The sequence below is a fragment of the Homo sapiens genome, chromosome 13, assembly GCF_000001405.40.
Source record: "Homo sapiens chromosome 13, GRCh38.p14 Primary Assembly".
In the NCBI taxonomy this organism is placed as follows: Eukaryota; Metazoa; Chordata; class Mammalia; order Primates; family Hominidae; genus Homo; species Homo sapiens.
Window position 1 is genome coordinate 46085368 of NC_000013.11, and position 16867 is coordinate 46102234.

Consider the following 16867-nt stretch of genomic DNA (forward strand, 5'->3'; position numbering starts at 1 on the left):
ATATGCACCATTTAGCTCTTCGGTTGAGAGAAATACAGTTGGCTGGTGTTTTCAGTGGCTGCCCTGGTGACCCACTAGAAGCTGAGGCCATGTGGTCTCAGGGCTGCATCCAGCCAGTAACCGAGTCCTGTGGAAGTGTTAATGCAGGCCCATTCTTGCCAGACTGAGACTGACCTAGCCCAGCCTTCTTTGGACCTGCCCTATAGTCTGAGATTCTCCAAACAAAATTCCCCTTTCTGCAGAGGTGTCAGAGCTATGACATGGTCTGATGATGCTCTCTGCCTTCTCCAGCTCCCGCCTCTATCCTCCAACAGCATTCCCCTCATCGCTTGCTCCTCCAGTCTAGTCTTAACCTCTGCTTCTTGGAAAACACTAACAAACAAGGAGCCATCAATTTTGTACCATGATATTGTTACAGGATCCCTGGGGTCGCTTCACCAGCAGAAACCTCTGTGGTCAGTGGCGCCTTTGCCTAAGCTTTGCTCAGGCCCGCTGAGCCCACTCGGCCTGGCAGGCTGCACTCATCTCGTGCTACTGGCTTGGGTCTCATTCGTGCCAAGGGCGAGCTGAGCGGTGAGGGGTGTGTGAGTGAGCAGGTGTGGGGTCCAGCTACTACACACAGCGAGGCATGCTGGCTGCGGCAGGGTGGGCATCTTTCGGCTCCCTGCAAGGCTGTGGCTGGACCAGGTGTCCCTCAAGCAGCTTCAATGGCTGGCACCGGGGAAGGTGGTGGCACCCAGAAGTTTGGAGACGTCAGGAACCACAGAGCCCTAAAGAGGGTGTCATAGTCCTGCCTCGGGGAGTTCTTAGGTCTGAGCTCCCCAAAAGGCTGCAGCTCTTCTCTCCTTCTTGTCACCCACAACGTGGCAAGCAAGGGGCGTGTTTCAGCTCTGTTTGTGTTAGAGCTCTTTCACCTCCACCATTTGGCAGGTTCAGCGCCCGGGAACAATGACGTACGTGGACAAGCGGAGGGTGAGCAAGGTGAAGAGGAGCTTTACTGAGTAATAGAACAGCTCAGAGGAGACTCGCGGTGGGTAGCTCCTCTCTGCAGCCAGGGTGTCCTGATGAGTGTTCGTTCTCAGCAGAGAGGAGACCCTGGAGTGGGTGGCTCCTCTCTACAGCTGGTCCTCCCCATGTCTCTCCAGAAGAGTCTGGCTGAATCCGGGGGATTTCTATGGGCTTCAGATGGGAGGAAGTGAGTGCTGATTGGTTCATGGGTGGCCATAGGCGGGTGCGGAAAAATCACCGTCAGTTCCCACTGCGGTCCACGGGACTGGCAGCCTTCCTGGGCTTGAAGGTGGGGCTTCACCAGGGACCCGCCCTTTTCTGCCTAGGATCCTGTCTGCCTCCTACGGCTATTTATGGCACCCAGGATTTTCCAGCTGAGGGGGCCTGCAGGCCAGTGCCGAGAAGCCCTCAGCCACCCCCTTGGCTTCCCTCCTGTGCTCGTCAGTACCCAAAGTCCAGAGGGGGCTGAGGCAGCAGGGGGCTAGCATGTCAGTACCGCTCTGATCATGCACACAGCCAGCCAGGTTGTGACAACACCTAGGCTCAGCCTCAATTTTGCTCCAAGATTGGAGTGAGCACCAGGAACTCGGAGAGACCAGACAGTGGGAGCAGGCACTTGCGAGCCTGTAGGGGAATGAGGGTCCTTCTCAGAACACTGAGAGTGCAGAAATGCCTGGGTCTGCAACCCCAGCTGGGCAGCTGCAGCTGCGCCCAGGAGGGCAGGGCTCCTGCCTGCTCCTGGCCCCCAAGAGCACAGGGATGTCCAGGTCTGTAGCTGCAGCGGGCAGCTGCAGCTGCGCCTGGGGAGCATGAGGCTGCCGCCCTGCCATCACAGAAGGGGGCGGGACTTTTACCTCCTCCTGGCTTCTGCTGGCTCCGTGGAGCACACAGCCCCAGCCGTGCCTCCCGCATGGCAGCAGCCGCTCTAGATGGGCCGCCACTGCCATTAATATTCTGTAATTCTTGTCAATTTTCTACATCTTAGACATTATGTCGAGATGGGTGCCTGGGTGAGAATTTTAATAAATGTACTCTGTCTTTCTGGTGCATCCTTGGTTAAGAACCATTGTTTCATGAGTAAGGTTTTATTTATAAATATTTTAATTTCTGTTACTGTAGCCTCTTTGTAAGTGCACACTTTATATCCCAAGGTACTATTATGAAATTGGCTGGAAAGCCAATAGCACAAGTGAAGAAGTGTTGATTTGGGGAACCAACAAAATCATGTGATTATGAGAAGGGAGAGAAGACTATGAGAAGAAGAGTTCATACCAGATACATGTAAGCCAGACAACATACAGGAGGAAACTCAACACCCAGTGCTTATACAAAGTGAAACCAATATAAACATAAATTAGGGAGAAATTACCTCATATGTTGTAGTAAGATTCTGTAGAACTTGAACTTGCCTAGAGGTTCTAGGAAGAGCAGCTAGAACTTGGCCACTGGGGAAAAAAATAAAAGAGGATTTTGATATTAAATAAAGAGTAAAGATGGAATATATTATACTGTGAGGAGCTTTTAGGTAATTGCAAAAGGGAAACAAAATTTAAAATGTTATTAGGACAGAGGATCTTACTACAGATTCAGTGTAATAAGAGAACATATACTCTCAGTCTTTATGCTCCTAAGCAATTGCAAAATCAACAGCTCTCTTGACTGGGGGTCAGTTTACAGAGTATTTACTTCTTTCCTTTTTCTTGTGCGTGCATGTGTGTTTTAATTTTAAAAATTAAATATTTGATGCATAAGGGAATATTTATGCTGATCCTAGTTAATTATACAATAAAATGAATGCCTGTGAACCCATCACCCCACTTAAAAAGTCCAGCTTCCTTGACATCCTGAAGATCCTTGTGTGCTCCTCTCTGTCCTACCCCCTTGCCACATCACCAGAGGTATCCTCTACCTTAAATTTTGACTTTTGCTCATTCCCTTGTTTTTCTTTATAGCATGGATTTTTAAACACATGTATGTGTGAATTCTGAAACAATACCCTTAGATTTGCCTGATTCAACTTTATAAAAATGGTATACTATATGTATTCTTCTGAATCTTGTTTTTCTTTTGTTCGGTATTGTATTCTCAAGATTATCATCTGTGTTGAAGTAGCTAGCCATAGTTCACACGTGAAAGCATTTTCTTACAAGTGGAATTGCCATTTCATGGGATATGCACAGTTTTAATTTCATAGGATAGTGTCATATCAGTCCTCAAGTTTTTTGTATCAATTTATATTGTCAGTAGCAGTGGAAAAGATTTCCTGTTGTTCTTCCTCCTTGCCAATACCTGATGCTCTCTGACTTTTCAACTTTTGCAATCAAATTTTTATGAAATGAAATTTTCTTGTGATTTTGATTTTCATTTTCTGACTTATTAATGAAGTACAGTTGTTTATATTTGATTATCGGCCATTCATATTTTTGCTTATATGTTATGTTTATTCAGATCAACTGCCCATTTTTTTCTAATTTACTTGTATTTTTGTAGTAGTTAATTTGTATAATTTCTTTATATATTCTAAATACTAATTTCTTGTCAGTTATATGTATTGCAAATATCTTCTAGCAGTTTGTAATTTGTCTTTTCTCTTTCTTGATGATGTGCTTTTTTTTTTTTAATCATTTCCTTCCAGGTTTGTGTGGTTTAAGATGTCTTTCTAGATATCTGGGATATAAAGATATTCTCATATACTTCTTCTGTCCTTCTTATTTAAATTTTAAATTCAATTGAAAATTATTTGGTTGGGTGCAGTGTAAAGAAGAAATAGACTTCTTTTTTTTTCTTCTTAGCATCGTTTATTATTATGATTTTTTACATCATCTATATTTTTCCCAGGGATCCACTATGTCAATTTTGTCATATATCAAGTTTCCATACTGTTTGGCAGAGAAAATGTTGGTTCATCAACACCACTGCCTCTTCCTGCATAGACAGAAAAACTTCATTACCCAGCCTTCCGTGTGGTTGTGTTGAGAGCCAGTGCCTGAGCTTTGCCAATGGGAATGCGTGGGAGTGTTATAGGTGCCTAAGAGTAGGTGTGTCTTCATGTGCACGTGCCCCCTCTCATCCTGCGGCCAGAAGCAAAGAGCCTCAAATGTGGAGTTGCATAATGGAAGCAGCCAAGATCTCCAAGTTGAAGGAGAGCACCAGGGAGAGTTCTATGACCTTCATCAATTAGTATTATGAGTGAGAAATTGCTCTGATCTGAATGTTTGTGTCCCCCCAAAATTCCTATGTTGAAATCCTAACCTCCAAGGTATTAGGAGATGAGGGTTTTGGGAGGTGATTAGGTCATAAGGGGAGAGGCTTCATGAATGGGATTAGTGACCTTAAAAAAGAGATCCCCTCCCCCTTCCACCATGTGAATATATAGCGGGAAGGTTCTGTCTATGCGGAAGATAGTCCCTCCCCAAACACAAGAATTAGCTGGTGCTTTGTCATGAACTTCCCAGCCTCCAGAACCGTGAGCAATAAATTTCTGTTGTTTATAAGCTGCACCACTTAAGGTATTTTTTGTTATAACTGCCCAAACGTACTAAGACAGAATTAACCCTATATTGTATTAAGTAAAGCTGTTTCAGGTTTTATTAGTGATTATAGCATAATCAAGGATTACCCTTGCTAATATAATGTGCTCTATTTCTTAGTTCTCTATTATGTTCTATTGATATATTTGTCTACCCTTGAGCCAATACTACTCATCTTAGTGATGGTAGCTTCATATTACATCCTAATATCTTAGAGAACAAACTCTTGCTTCCCCTCTGCCCTGCCCAATTCTTTTTTTTTTACAAGCCTCTTGTCTTGATCCTTTGCTTTTTCACATAATTTTTAAAAATCAGCTTGTTATGTTTCATGAAAAAAATGAAATTTTCATTAGAATTATATTGGATCAATAGATTAATAATTTGGAAAGAACAGATATACTCATGATTCTGAGTGTCATTATTAATAAATACAGTGAATTTGTCTATTTGTCTATTCTTTTTTTTTTTTTTTTTGGAGATGGAGTCTCACTCTGTCACCCAGGCAGGAGTGCAATGGAGCGATCTTGGCTCAGTGCAACCTCCGCCTCCCAGGTTCAAGCAATTCTCCTGACTCGGCCTCCTGAGTAGCTGGGATTACAGGTGCACACCACCATGGCTGGCTAATTTTTGTATTTTTTAGTAGAGACGTGGTTTCACCATGTTAGTCAGGCTGGTCTCGAACTCCTGACCCCGTGATCCACCCGCCTCAGCCTCCCAAAGTGCTGGGATTACAGGTGTGAGCCACTGCACACAGCCCATTTATCTATTCTTTAATGCCTTTCCAAAAGTTTTACAATTTTATCCATAAAGATGTTGCACTTTTTTTTTTTCTTTTTGAGACGGAGTCTCGCTCTTTTGCCCAGACTGGAGTGCAGTGGCGCCATCTCGGCTCACTGCAACCTCCACGTCCCTGGTTCAAGCGATTTTCCTGCCTCAAGCCTCCTGAGTAGCTGGGATTACAGGTGCACACCAACACACCTGGCTAATTTTTTGTATTTTTAGTAGAGACTGGGTTTCACTATGTTGGTCAGGCTGGTCTCGAACTCCTGACCTCGTGATCCTCCTGCCTCAGCCTCCCAAAGTGCTGGGATTACAGGCGTGAGCCACCGTGCCCGGCTGCACATTTTTAAATTATGTTTTCTTCTAACAAATTTGCCTTTTCGTTAGTAAATGGTAACTTTTAACATGCCACCTCTAAGCTCTTTTTTGCTAAGATATAGAAATAAAAATGATTTTTGGTGTTGATTTTCTATTTAGCTCTCTTGGTAGTTTTGATAATTTTGGTATAGATATTTGGGGGGATATTTCTCTTTGCAAGTAATCATTACATCTGCACACACTATTAGGTTGGTGCAAAAGTAATTGCGGTTTTTGCCGTTACTTTTAATGTACTTAATGTACTTTTAATACGTTCTGCTTCTTTAATTTCAATGCTTATAGAGCCCCTTTTCCCCTTCCTTTTTGTCTTGCTGTGTTGCCTGGGACTTCAGTACAACATTGAATAGAAGTGGAGATAAAATGCATGATTCCTAATTTTTAAGAAAAACCTTAAAATATTTTACCATTAGAATGCTTGTTGTAGATTTTTGGTAGATGTCTTTTATCAGTTTTAAAAAACTCCTTGCTCTTTGTTAAGAGTTTTTATGATGAATAAGTGTGGATTTTAAATGCTTTCTATAAGATGAGCATATGGGTTTTCTGGCTTAATATCTTAATGTGGTGAATTATATCAATAGATTGTTTAAAAAGCAGACACTTGGTTGGTTTTCTCACTTTTGCTTTGTTGTATTTCTATTTTGCAACTGTTGCTAAGGTTGTGAGAATTCTTGGTGATTCTTACACAGCCAAGGCAATAGATTAATGTGACTCAACATGAATTTACTTTATTTTCACATACCACTTAGAAAAGAAAGAATTTCTTAGCAAATGTCCTCATTTCTGCAGCTCTCCATCCAGTTTTATAGGTAAGTGATAAGGAGAGAAAGGAAGCAGTGAGGTGAGGGATTGTGGACTCTGTTAACGGCAATGGCATTCTCAGGTTTCCAGTATACCACTGAGTAACCTCACAAGAACTATTTTATTTAAATTAAAATTAAGCATGTTGGTGGCATTTGCCAGCTCTGAGCCCCCCCTTTTTTTTAACTGAACGAGATTTTTCTTTTATTTTCAAACAAATATTGCCCTTGAAATATGACGATAGATATATTTTAAATTAGAAAAAATGCTTCCTCTTGCTTTATTTAAAACTAATCTTAGACTTTGCTTCCAGTTATACCCTCCTTTATGAAATAACTAAAAACCTGGACAAAATGTATGGAACAACAGCACTCAAGACATTAGACAACAGCAACATTATGACTAAATGCAACATGGTGTTCTGGATTAGATCTCGGAACAGAAAAAGAGCTTTAGTGGGAAAACTGGTGAAATCCAAAAAAGTCTGGAGTTTAGTTAATAGTAATATAACAATGTTGATTTCTCAGTTTTTACTAATACATCATGATAATATAAAATGTTAACATTAGGGTATATTGGGTGAGGGGTATACAGTTGTATTACAATTGGCAACTTTTCTGTAAATCTAAAAATATTCCAAATAAATCATCTTATTTAAGAAAACCATGTACCAAGAGCTCTCAAAGCACAAAAGAGGTTATGATAACTTCTGTTTGTCATTATTAGCAAAGGCTTCATAGAAGGGATGTCTGGGTGTGTAAGAATGTCTAAGAGTGGGTAAAGGCACAATAGCAAGAGATAAAGGGCATTTTTGGAAAAATGGCTCTTGTTCATTGTTGCCAAGTATAGGATACGGGTGTTTAAAGCAAGAGAAGAATGGGAGCTAAACAGAAATGAGTGTGGGAAGTTATGTTCATCCTTCCCTAGAGAAGGTCTTGAATGCATGCTGAGAAATTTGGACTTTATCTTGTAGGCAATTAGAAGTTAGAAAGGTAACATTTGAGCTGTGATTTATAGGGATAATTTTATTTGTTTTCCTTTGTTTGTTTTTGTTTGTTTGTTTGTTTTTGAGATGGAGTCTCGCTCTGTCACCCAGGCTGGAGTGCAATGGCGTGATCTTGGCTCACTGCAACCTCCACCTTCTGGGTTCAAGCGATTCTCCTGCCTTAGCCTCCTGAGTAGCTGGGATTACAGGCGTGCACCACCATGCCCGGCTAATTTTTGTATTTTTAGTAGAGATGGGGTTTCACCATGTTGGTCAGGCTGGTCTTGAACTCCTGACCTCAGACAATCCACCCGCCTCAGCCTCCCAAAATGCTGGGATTACAGGCGTGAGCCACCGCGCCCACCAAGGATAACTTTAACAAGGGTGGAGGGTGGCTTTATTTTGGAAATCCTGAGTAAAATATTCTGAATTCTGGAAATAAGTCTATGGAGAGACTTGCTTATTAGAAGAGGGGAAAAGTAGCTAGACTGAGAAATTTTATGTCAATCTCTGGTACAAGTTTAGCATAAACTATTAAACCACTGATTAAAGATACATGTTCAAGGATGTGTATTACGGCATTATTCATAGTAACAAAACCTAAAAACCATGTGAATGCTCAGCAGTAACAGAATTGTCGAATGTTGGTAGTGTCTCCACATTCTAGAATGCTTTTCAGTCATTATAAAAAATGAGTTTGATTTATAACAGTTAACTTGGGGGCTTTAAATGGCATATTAAGGGAGAAAAGCAAGATATGGAGAACTTTATGAAATATGATCCTATTTTTGGAAAAAAAGTTAGAAAGATAAAGAAAAATTATATGTGTTAAAATCAGGAGAAAATTATACATAAATAAACAACACATTGTTAGCTTTGATTTGGAGGGTGGGAAATGGCAATTGAAGCCTTGGGTAAGTGGCAGGGGAAGAACAAATGAGATTCTTTTTAAAAGAAAGGTTTCTATAGTACCAATAGGAGATACAACATTGAACTAGTATACAATTATACCCAGGGAGGTATAACTATGTGGAGAAATGTATGAAAGGATGATCACAAACATGTTCATATTTTCACCAGGATGGTGAAATTTTAGTATTTTCTCCCTAATTTTATGCTTTTCTGTATTATTTACTTTTTAAACCCAAAAGAACTCCTATTCTTGTATTTATTCAAGAAAATTAAATTTAAAGAAAAATCTCCTTTGACTGTGAAAAAGCCACTAACAAGCTTCTCAGTGATGCTGGTAACCCTCTCATCTCACCAGCACATTCCTTATTATTTTCATAAACAGAATGTTCTCTGGGCCCTTGGAGTAGCGTAGTCACCCAGTGGGTTTTCTAGCCTTACATAGCATTTTTATTCTAGTGTGCTCTATCTCTTTTTTCACCATCTGCCACATTCGCTCTGACATTTCTAGCTCAGATGGTGCAGGCCATGCTTTCTCCAAGCTTCCAAAAACTACCCTAACAGCATGTTTGTACCACCTCTCAAGGAACTAACTAGAATGTTAAATTCTGTAGCATGGGTGAGTGCACCTCCTTTGGGGTATAGTCCCTTTCCTTTGTTAACATGCCCAGCACTTCCACAGCCAGCTTATGTTGTGACTACCCTAGGTTATTGGCTTGAAGGCCAGGAGGGGAGGTGGGAATAGATCCTGAGGGCTAACTACAGGACATGCCATTACAGAACTGAGCTCTCTGATACCAATGGAGATGTTAAGATCCCTGTATAGAGAAGCCAGGCGGGAGGGCTTAACCACCAGTAACAAGTTGGGCACAGTTATTACAATGAGCAGTAAGGTCGGAGTGGCAGCCAGAGGACCATGACCCTTAGAAAATTGTGGAGTCGGTTAGGAGAACACAGAGTTCTTAGGGGCAAGATAGAGAAGCAGCCAACAAAAGGATTGCTCAATCTTTACAATAAAAATAAATCAAAGCTGGATAATGAGAGAGGCTGAGGACAGCTATCCTAATCAAAAGTCATAATCCATTGCCCTTTTCCAGATCTGAGCTGTTCTTAGACCCAGAATTTCTTGCCTGAAGGAGGAATCAGGTCCCCACAAGGAAAGACCCTGCAACTGTATAAAAAAAGAATCTAAAAAGATCATGACTCCTTCAGTCCTTTCCCAAAGAGACCTATGGAAATTTCCTCAGGTAAGTCTGCACCCTGGGGAAAGGGTAATACTCAAATATTTTCAGGTGTGTTGGATGCAGGGTCACTATCCAAGTTGATTTTGAAACTTGGGTATCTGGAGCCCTAGCCTAAGACTAGCTCATAGCGGGTGCACCATGTTAATGGATTCCCCCATCATTATTTCCCTGGTCACCAAATGTATAATTGACATGAACATACTAGGTAGTTGGCAGAACCTCCACATTGTTTCCTTGACTGTAAGACCAGAGCTATCATAGTGGGAAAAGCCAAAAGGAAACCTCTGAAATTGCCCAACCTCCCAGCCAAGATATCAAAATTAAAAAAAAAAAAATTCATCCTTGAGGGGAAATGACAAATATCAGTACCACCCTTAAAGACCTAAAAGATGCAGGGATGATAGATCCCATCAAATCCACATTTAATTTGCCATCTGGATCCCACAAAAACCAGATGGATCCTGGAAAACGACAGCAAACAATCAAACTCAACCAAGCAACAATCTCAATTGCAGCCATAGTGCTTGATGTGGCATCTTTGCCGGGGTAGAGTCTCAGGCATATGGTATTCAGCTATTGCGCTGGATATGTCAGTCGGAAAAAGCATCAGAACAGTTAACATCCACTTGGGACAGACACCAGTGCATATTTACAGTCTTGCCTCAGCTTTAATTAACTTTCTCACTCTCCAGCTGCAAGATGTGTACTTGATATAAGCCCCCAGCTACTGTGCTCTGAAATCTGTCCCTGTGTTAGTGCTAATACCACATTTCCCACTGGCTTCTTGCAGCTAATAACTGAGTATGGTGGGGATACTAAGGGAGGCTCTTTCTACAAAACTGGAAACTCTTCTGATGTGTGACTCTGGCTATAGGACTTTTTTTTTTTTTTTTTTTTTTGAGACAGAGTTTTGCTCTTGTCACCCAGGCTGGAGTGCAATGGAGCAATCTTGGCTCACTACAATTCTGCCTCGTGGGTTCAAGTGATTCTCCTGCCTCAGCCTCTCGAGTAACTGGGATTACAGGCACGCACCACCACACCTGGCTAATTTTTGTATTTTTAGTAAAAACGGGGATTCACCATATTGGTAAGGCTGGTCTCGAACTCCTGACCTCAGGTAATCCACACACCTCGGCCTCTCAAAGTGCTGGGATTACAGGTGTGAGCCACCGTGCCTGGCCAGGACTCTTGGTTGGTTTTGCCAAAACTTTCTTAGAACTGCACTACGACCTGAAATGTTCCCTACCTGCTTCCTTCCTTTCCTCTCTCCTCCACAGGGGTTAAGCTTGCATTGCAGTCTCATGGCTCTCCCAGCCTCCTCCAGCCCTCTCCCCATTTCTTGCACCCAAGCATTTTCCTCAACACACCTCTTGCACAGCTAATCCCATCTTGGTGTCTGCTTCTCAGAGGATCATAACTGACACAAGTAGGAAGAGGAAGTCTGATACATGGACAGTCAAGTTGATAGTGCATGGGTACAAGTAAAAAATGAAGTGGGCTGGGCACGGTGGCTCACGCTTGTAATCCCAGCACTTTGGGAGGCCGAGGTGGGTGGATCACCTGAGGTCAGGAGTTCGAGACGAGCCTGGCCAATATGGTGAAATCCCATCTCTACTAAAAATACAAAAAATTAGCTGGGCATGGTGGCGGGCACCTGTAATGCCAGCTACTTGGGAGGCTGAGGCAGGAGAATTGCTTGAACCCAGGAGGCAGAGGTTGTAGTGAGCTAATATCGCACCACTGCACTCTAGCCTGGGCGACAGAGGGAGACTCCATCTCAAAAAAGAAAAAAAAAAGTGAAGTGGTGCTGCATTATGGACTCACTCGGGTGACCGAAAGAGAGCAGAGAGGGAAATCGTCCCAAATAGGCAGAGCTTCAGTGTTGCATCTCATCATACACCTTGGGTGGAAAAGGTGTTTCCAGTGTTAGAATATGCAGGAATTCATGGAGAGTGGCAAGTGACATGACTGGAAAACCCCTCAAGAACCTGGAAGAAGAAATCTTGACAGATTGGAGACAAAGAGATTGGAGAAAGGGGGATGTGAATGGAACTATGAGAGTGGGCAGAAAGTGTGAAGATCTTTGTATCATTTATTAATGCCTAACCAGGAGCACCCACAACAGAATAGACATTAAACAGCTGCATAAACAAATGACTCAGCCAGTTGATGTCAGTCAGCCTGTGTCAACAGCCACCCCAATGCTGGCACAAAAGGCACTAGAACAGAATAGCCTGATGGCAGAGATGAAGTGTGCATGGCTCCAGCAGCACGGACTCCTCTCATTAAGGCTGATCTAGCTACTGTTGCTGCCCCATGTCTAACTTGCCAGCAACGGAGACCAAAGTTGAGCCCCGGAATCAGCACCATTCCTCATAGAGACCAGCTAGTCACTGGGTGGTAAGTTGACTACATCTGTCCTCTTCCACTCTGGGTATGGGTTTATCTCGCCTGCCTGTAGGGCCTCAGGCAAGCATCACCATACAAGGGCTTACGGAGTGTTTGACCACTGATAAAACATCTCACATAACATCCTATCAGATCATGGGCTCCACTTTACAACAAGGGAATTGCAGAAATGGGTCCATTACCATGGAATCCACTTAGCCTCTCACATACCAGAATACCTAGTTGCTGCTATCCTGTTACTGAAATAAAAATGGTTTGTTGAAGGATCAATTGAGGTGCTAACTTGGAAGGCAACATCCTCCAGTGCACACTTTAAATCAATACTCATGTGGTGCTGTGTCCCTACTAGGTAGTATACATGGTTCCAGGAACCAAGTTGGAGTGTTTCCATATACCGTCACTCCAAGTAACCCACTCGGAGAATTAGTACTTTAAATCTACAAATATGGACTCTGTACTTATAAAAATTCCGGTTTCCAGAGAGCATAGGAAGAGTTCCTTTAAACTGAAAGCTGTTGTTACTGTCCAGTCATTTCAGTTTCCTCATGCTGATTGATTATCAGGAAGGCGAGGAGTTACCATGGGTTTTCTAGCCATGCAGGAAGGGTAATTGACTCCAATAATCAGAAGGACATTGAGGGCTGCACTTACATACTGAATGTGGCAGGGAAGAATATGTTTGGAATCCAGCTTAGGCGTTCTGTAATATTCCCTTGTCCAAATTTGATGTATACAGACAATTGCAGCAGCCATGGCCCAAGAGGGCCCAGTGATTATGACTCAGATCCTTGAGGATTGAGGGTCTGGGTTGTCTCACCAGGTAAACCACCTAGATTAGAAGAGGTGCTAGCAAAGGGCACCTCTTTGGGGAAAACAGAACGGGTAGGGGAGAAGAGGAATGACAAGTATTGGTTATGGCCTCGAGACTAGCTGTAGCTGTGAAGGTTGTAGTTTATTTCACTAACGTTCCTCTTGTATATTTCCTTTAGGAAGAGGGACCAAGCAAAACCCCAGAAGAGTTGATCTCAAAGCTTATTTTATGAAGAAAATTGACCTGAGTGACACAAAGGGTTGGACTGTAGTAGATGTCACGTTTTGCTGCCTAGATCTCCATCCAGGGATGAACTCTTATTTCCTCAGCTTCTTTGTCTCCTCAGCTTCTGGGAGGGTTGGCAGCTGATATTCTCACCTGAGTCCCTTTCTAGGACTTGCCCTTGCCTGAAGAGAGCTGTGCTGCCCAACATGATGCCTCCTCCAAGGTACAATCCACACCCAGTGACTAATAAACAGGGGTTACAAAGGCATGCCTGCTTGCCCCAGTTTGGGACAACTTTACCAGGCCAACCCAGCCTCAAGGCTCTCCACAGGAACAGGTGAGGCCATAGTTGTGATTACATCACAGGTCAGTTTCTCCTCTGCCCAAGCCTTCTTCCTTCATTCCTCCACAGATGCTGATCCTGAGATTCCTTTCCAGTAAACTTCCTCCATGCAATCTTCATCTCAGGAGTCTGTTTCCTGGGGAAACTAACCTGCAACTGATACAAATGCCTATTCTGTGAGATAAAACACTAAAAGTACAATGCGAGTGGTATAAATATTCTGCTACAGGAATACAAAGTCAGGTATCATTTTTGACTTAGGTAGTCAGAGAATGGAGATATTCTGAGTTGGACTTCTGAGATACTAGGATTCAATAGGTGAAGGGAAGATGAGATGGTATAAGACTAACATAGGCAGAATTTTGCTAAACGAATTGGAGATGAAACATCATAAGTGCAGGTGCACAAGTAGAAAAGTAAAATCAGAGCTCAAGGAAGGAGAAGTGATCCAGCTGGGCAGAAATATGGGGCCTATATAGAGATATACCAGGAAATAAAGCCAGGACGAATGGCAGGGTAGGACCTGATTGTTAAGGGTCTTAAATGCTGGGGTCAAGATTGTGGCCCTTACTTAAAAGTTGGTTGGGCATGATTTTGGGAGTTGTAGCAAAAGATGTGGCAAACTCAAAGCTTCCTTTTCATGTAAAGTATAGAGAAGTGGAGGTTCATATCATTAAATCACTGTAATTTCAGTGTGAACTTCTAACAATTTGAGCTAACCATGAGATAGGACACCTTATCAAGCAATGAGCTCTTCATTATCTAAAGAGATGCTGAATTTCAAGTCCATGTAGAGGAAGTCTTGTGTTGACTAGAGCATAATATGTCTGGGGGGACTTTTCTTCTTTTTTACTGATATTTAGTAACTTGGATATTGTGCTAAGTGCTTTACAGGTATTCTTATTTAATCCTCACAAGGCAGTATGGTAGATAATCTATTATATTGAAAATAATGGGCCAGGCACAGTGGCTCACGCCTGTAATCCCAGCACTTTGGGAGGCTGAGGTGGGTGGATCACCTGAGGTCAGGAGTTCAAGACCAGCCTGACCAACATGGTGAAACCCTGTCTTTACTAAAAATACAAAAATAAGCGTGGCATAGTAGCTCACACCTGTAGTCCCAGCTACTCAGAAGGCTGAAGCACGAGAATCACTTGAACCCACGAGGTGGAGGTTACAGTGAGCCAAAATCACACCACTGGACTCCAGCCTGGGTAAGAGAGCATGACTAGGTCTCAAAAGAAAGAAAGAAAATAATGAACAAAAAATGTTGAGTGGGCAGTATTAAATTAAAAAAAAACCTAATGTATTAAAGAAGGAGAAAAGTATAAAAATTAGTCAACAAGCAGAGAAAGAAAGAAAATATAAAGGTAAAAATGTATGTTATCCAAATGAGACCTCTTAAGAAGAAAAAATAAAGGAAATTCAAAAAATAAGTTAGGAAATAGTGAGTAAAATTATGAAGTTAAAAATTCACCAAAAATTTATTGATATGTCCAAGTTCAGCTTGTAGTGAACAGACTCTTCTTATGCAGAATTTGAGCAAAGTGCTAACACAACAGAGTTAGGTAATGGGATGAGGGTCAGTCAGATCACTCTATTTTTGGAAACTGGTTTCATGACTGCTTCCCCTTACTTAGTCATAAACAGGCTATATAAAAAGCTGTCAGAGTGGAAAGAGGGAGAGGATTTGTGAATTTTTTTTTTTAGCATGTTTTTATGGTTCTGTAAGTCACCACCCTCCCAAAGGGATGAAGTTTCGGGGTGCACTCCCCTTACCTCAGCCTAGTAGGGGGACTTCCAGGAGATAATGAGAGAGTTGGATGTTTCCTCAAATTTACAGACACAAAGACTGGTGCCTGGCTTCTCCTGATAAAGCTAAACCTGCATGTGGCTGGTCTCTAGTTGGCTAGATAGTAGTAGTTAAAATGAAAAGAAACACTTAATGTTAGATGCCATCCAATAGGGCCACCTAAAGGGATGGAAGGTTCTCAACAACAAGAGCCCAGAGGTAGAAGCAAGACTCTTAGCGGGGAAGGATGGAGTCGCAAGTGAAAACCTAGACAAAGAAGCATCTGTCCTGGTCCAGAGGCTTCCCCAATAAAGATGTCTCACACAACTCTAAGAAGTTAGAACTCGAGAAAAAGACTAACAAGAAAAAGAGTAAGGTGTGTTTGTGGAAGAGGTGAGGCAGTTGTTTTCCTATAAATAATGTTAAATTAAACTAAATTTGGTCTGAGGATGCCTCGTAACTTGAGTCGCTACATAACAAACTGCAACCTAACTTAGGAGTATTTTTTTTTTGTACTAACGAGGTGAGTCTCAGCCAATCACAGCAGCCAAGCTACAGCCAATCCCATGTGGCCAACTGATCAGCCTATGCCCAGTAAGACAACTGCTCACCTGTAACTACTCAAGCTGCTTCTGGACCTCATTTCCATTTGCTGTTTATAAGTGCTGCCTGCCCACTTTGCTGAGCAGAACTCTCTGAACTTCTTTCGTTTTTGAGGGTTACTTGATTAGAAAATTGTTCTTTGTTCAATTAAATTTTGCTAAATATAATTCTTTTAAAGATTTTCTTTTAACAACAAAGATGGGGATATTTGAACAATACCTTGGTTGGAGGTGACATTCTAATTTCTAAATTGAGGCTATTTGTATTTTTAGCAGGACCCAAGGACTGTCACTTAAAAGCAGGCTAAAAAGCCTTGAAATTTTCTAACTTTCCATGCGAGAGCAGTGATAGATAACCCCACTACGCAAAATGTCATGGGGCAATGGGAGACAAAAACTAAAGCTGTGTTTCAACTGCGTCTCTGAATGATACGATTATAGCACTTACACAATAACCACTTGAGAAAAAAGAACAGCCTTGCACCAAAAATCGAATGAGAAGTACAAGCACAGTGAAGTAACAGGTCACTTTACAAAAAAAAGTAAAGGCTGAAAGGGGACGAGCAAATTGCCCAAGTCTGCATGGGTGATAAGTAGCAGATCTGGGGCTCGAATCCAGATCCTGAGCTTTTAATACCTATGCAACACTTCCTCTGTTCCTTCCCTTCTGAGAACGTCATTATGTTCATTGGGGTGTATCCCCTGCTATGGTTTACAGGGGAGGGTTCACACTTTCACCATTCTGAAAGATTATTTTGAATTTAAAAAGCTGGCAAGATGTCTCTGAACAATGGAACATAGCCCAAGGCTGCAATTTTGTTGCACACATTACAGTGTTTTAAGGCCACTGGTGGCCTGTTCTTTGAGATGAAAACAATACATCAGTAGGAACAAAGTGAAAGAGAGTAAACTGGTCTCCAGGTACCCAAACAGTATGTGAAGTCAACAGAGGAACACTTCCTGTGGTCTATTAATAATTCAGAAGCCCTTTATCCTCAACCCTCCTCCACTCTCTAATTCCTAAGTCTTCTTCCTAGTGTCTCTTACTTCCTC

At 42.2% G+C, this 16867-nt stretch overlaps 1 protein-coding gene and 1 long non-coding RNA gene across 5 annotated transcripts in view, besides 1 other annotated feature; one reads left to right on the plus strand and one right to left on the minus strand.

Moving 5' to 3' along the window:
- Positions 1 to 15980, plus strand: part of CPB2-AS1 (CPB2 antisense RNA 1) — a 48500-nt gene extending 32520 nt beyond the window's left edge. Inside the window, exons 2-4 of one of the 2 annotated variants that reach the window (NR_046226.1) lie at positions 9486 to 9635; positions 11743 to 12032; positions 13031 to 15980. This is a non-coding gene — a long non-coding RNA (CPB2 antisense RNA 1). The remainder of the gene's footprint in view (positions 1 to 9485; positions 9636 to 11742; positions 12033 to 13030) is intronic. The other variant, NR_046227.1, reaches the window with a different exon arrangement.
- CPB2 (carboxypeptidase B2) overlaps positions 1 to 16867 on the minus strand; it is a 51848-nt gene that overhangs the window by 32182 nt on the left and 2799 nt on the right. For 2 of the 3 annotated variants that reach the window (NM_001278541.2, NM_001872.5), the window contains exon 2: positions 2378 to 2453. In NM_001278541.2, the coding sequence (NP_001265470.1) occupies positions 2378 to 2453 (76 nt within the window). Of the gene's footprint in view, positions 1 to 2377; positions 2454 to 13377; positions 13554 to 16867 lie in introns of those variants that run through there. The other variant, XM_017020393.3, reaches the window with a different exon arrangement.
- Positions 1377 to 1876: an enhancer, noted in NCBI's record as "H3K4me1 hESC enhancer chr13:46660879-46661378 (GRCh37/hg19 assembly coordinates)". NCBI's record gives its function as "activates a minimal SCP1, AML or CMV promoter by ChIP-STARR-seq in naive H9 embryonic stem cells {active_cell/tissue: H9 hESC(naive)}" and the evidence as "EXISTENCE:reporter gene assay evidence [ECO:0000049][PMID:30033119]".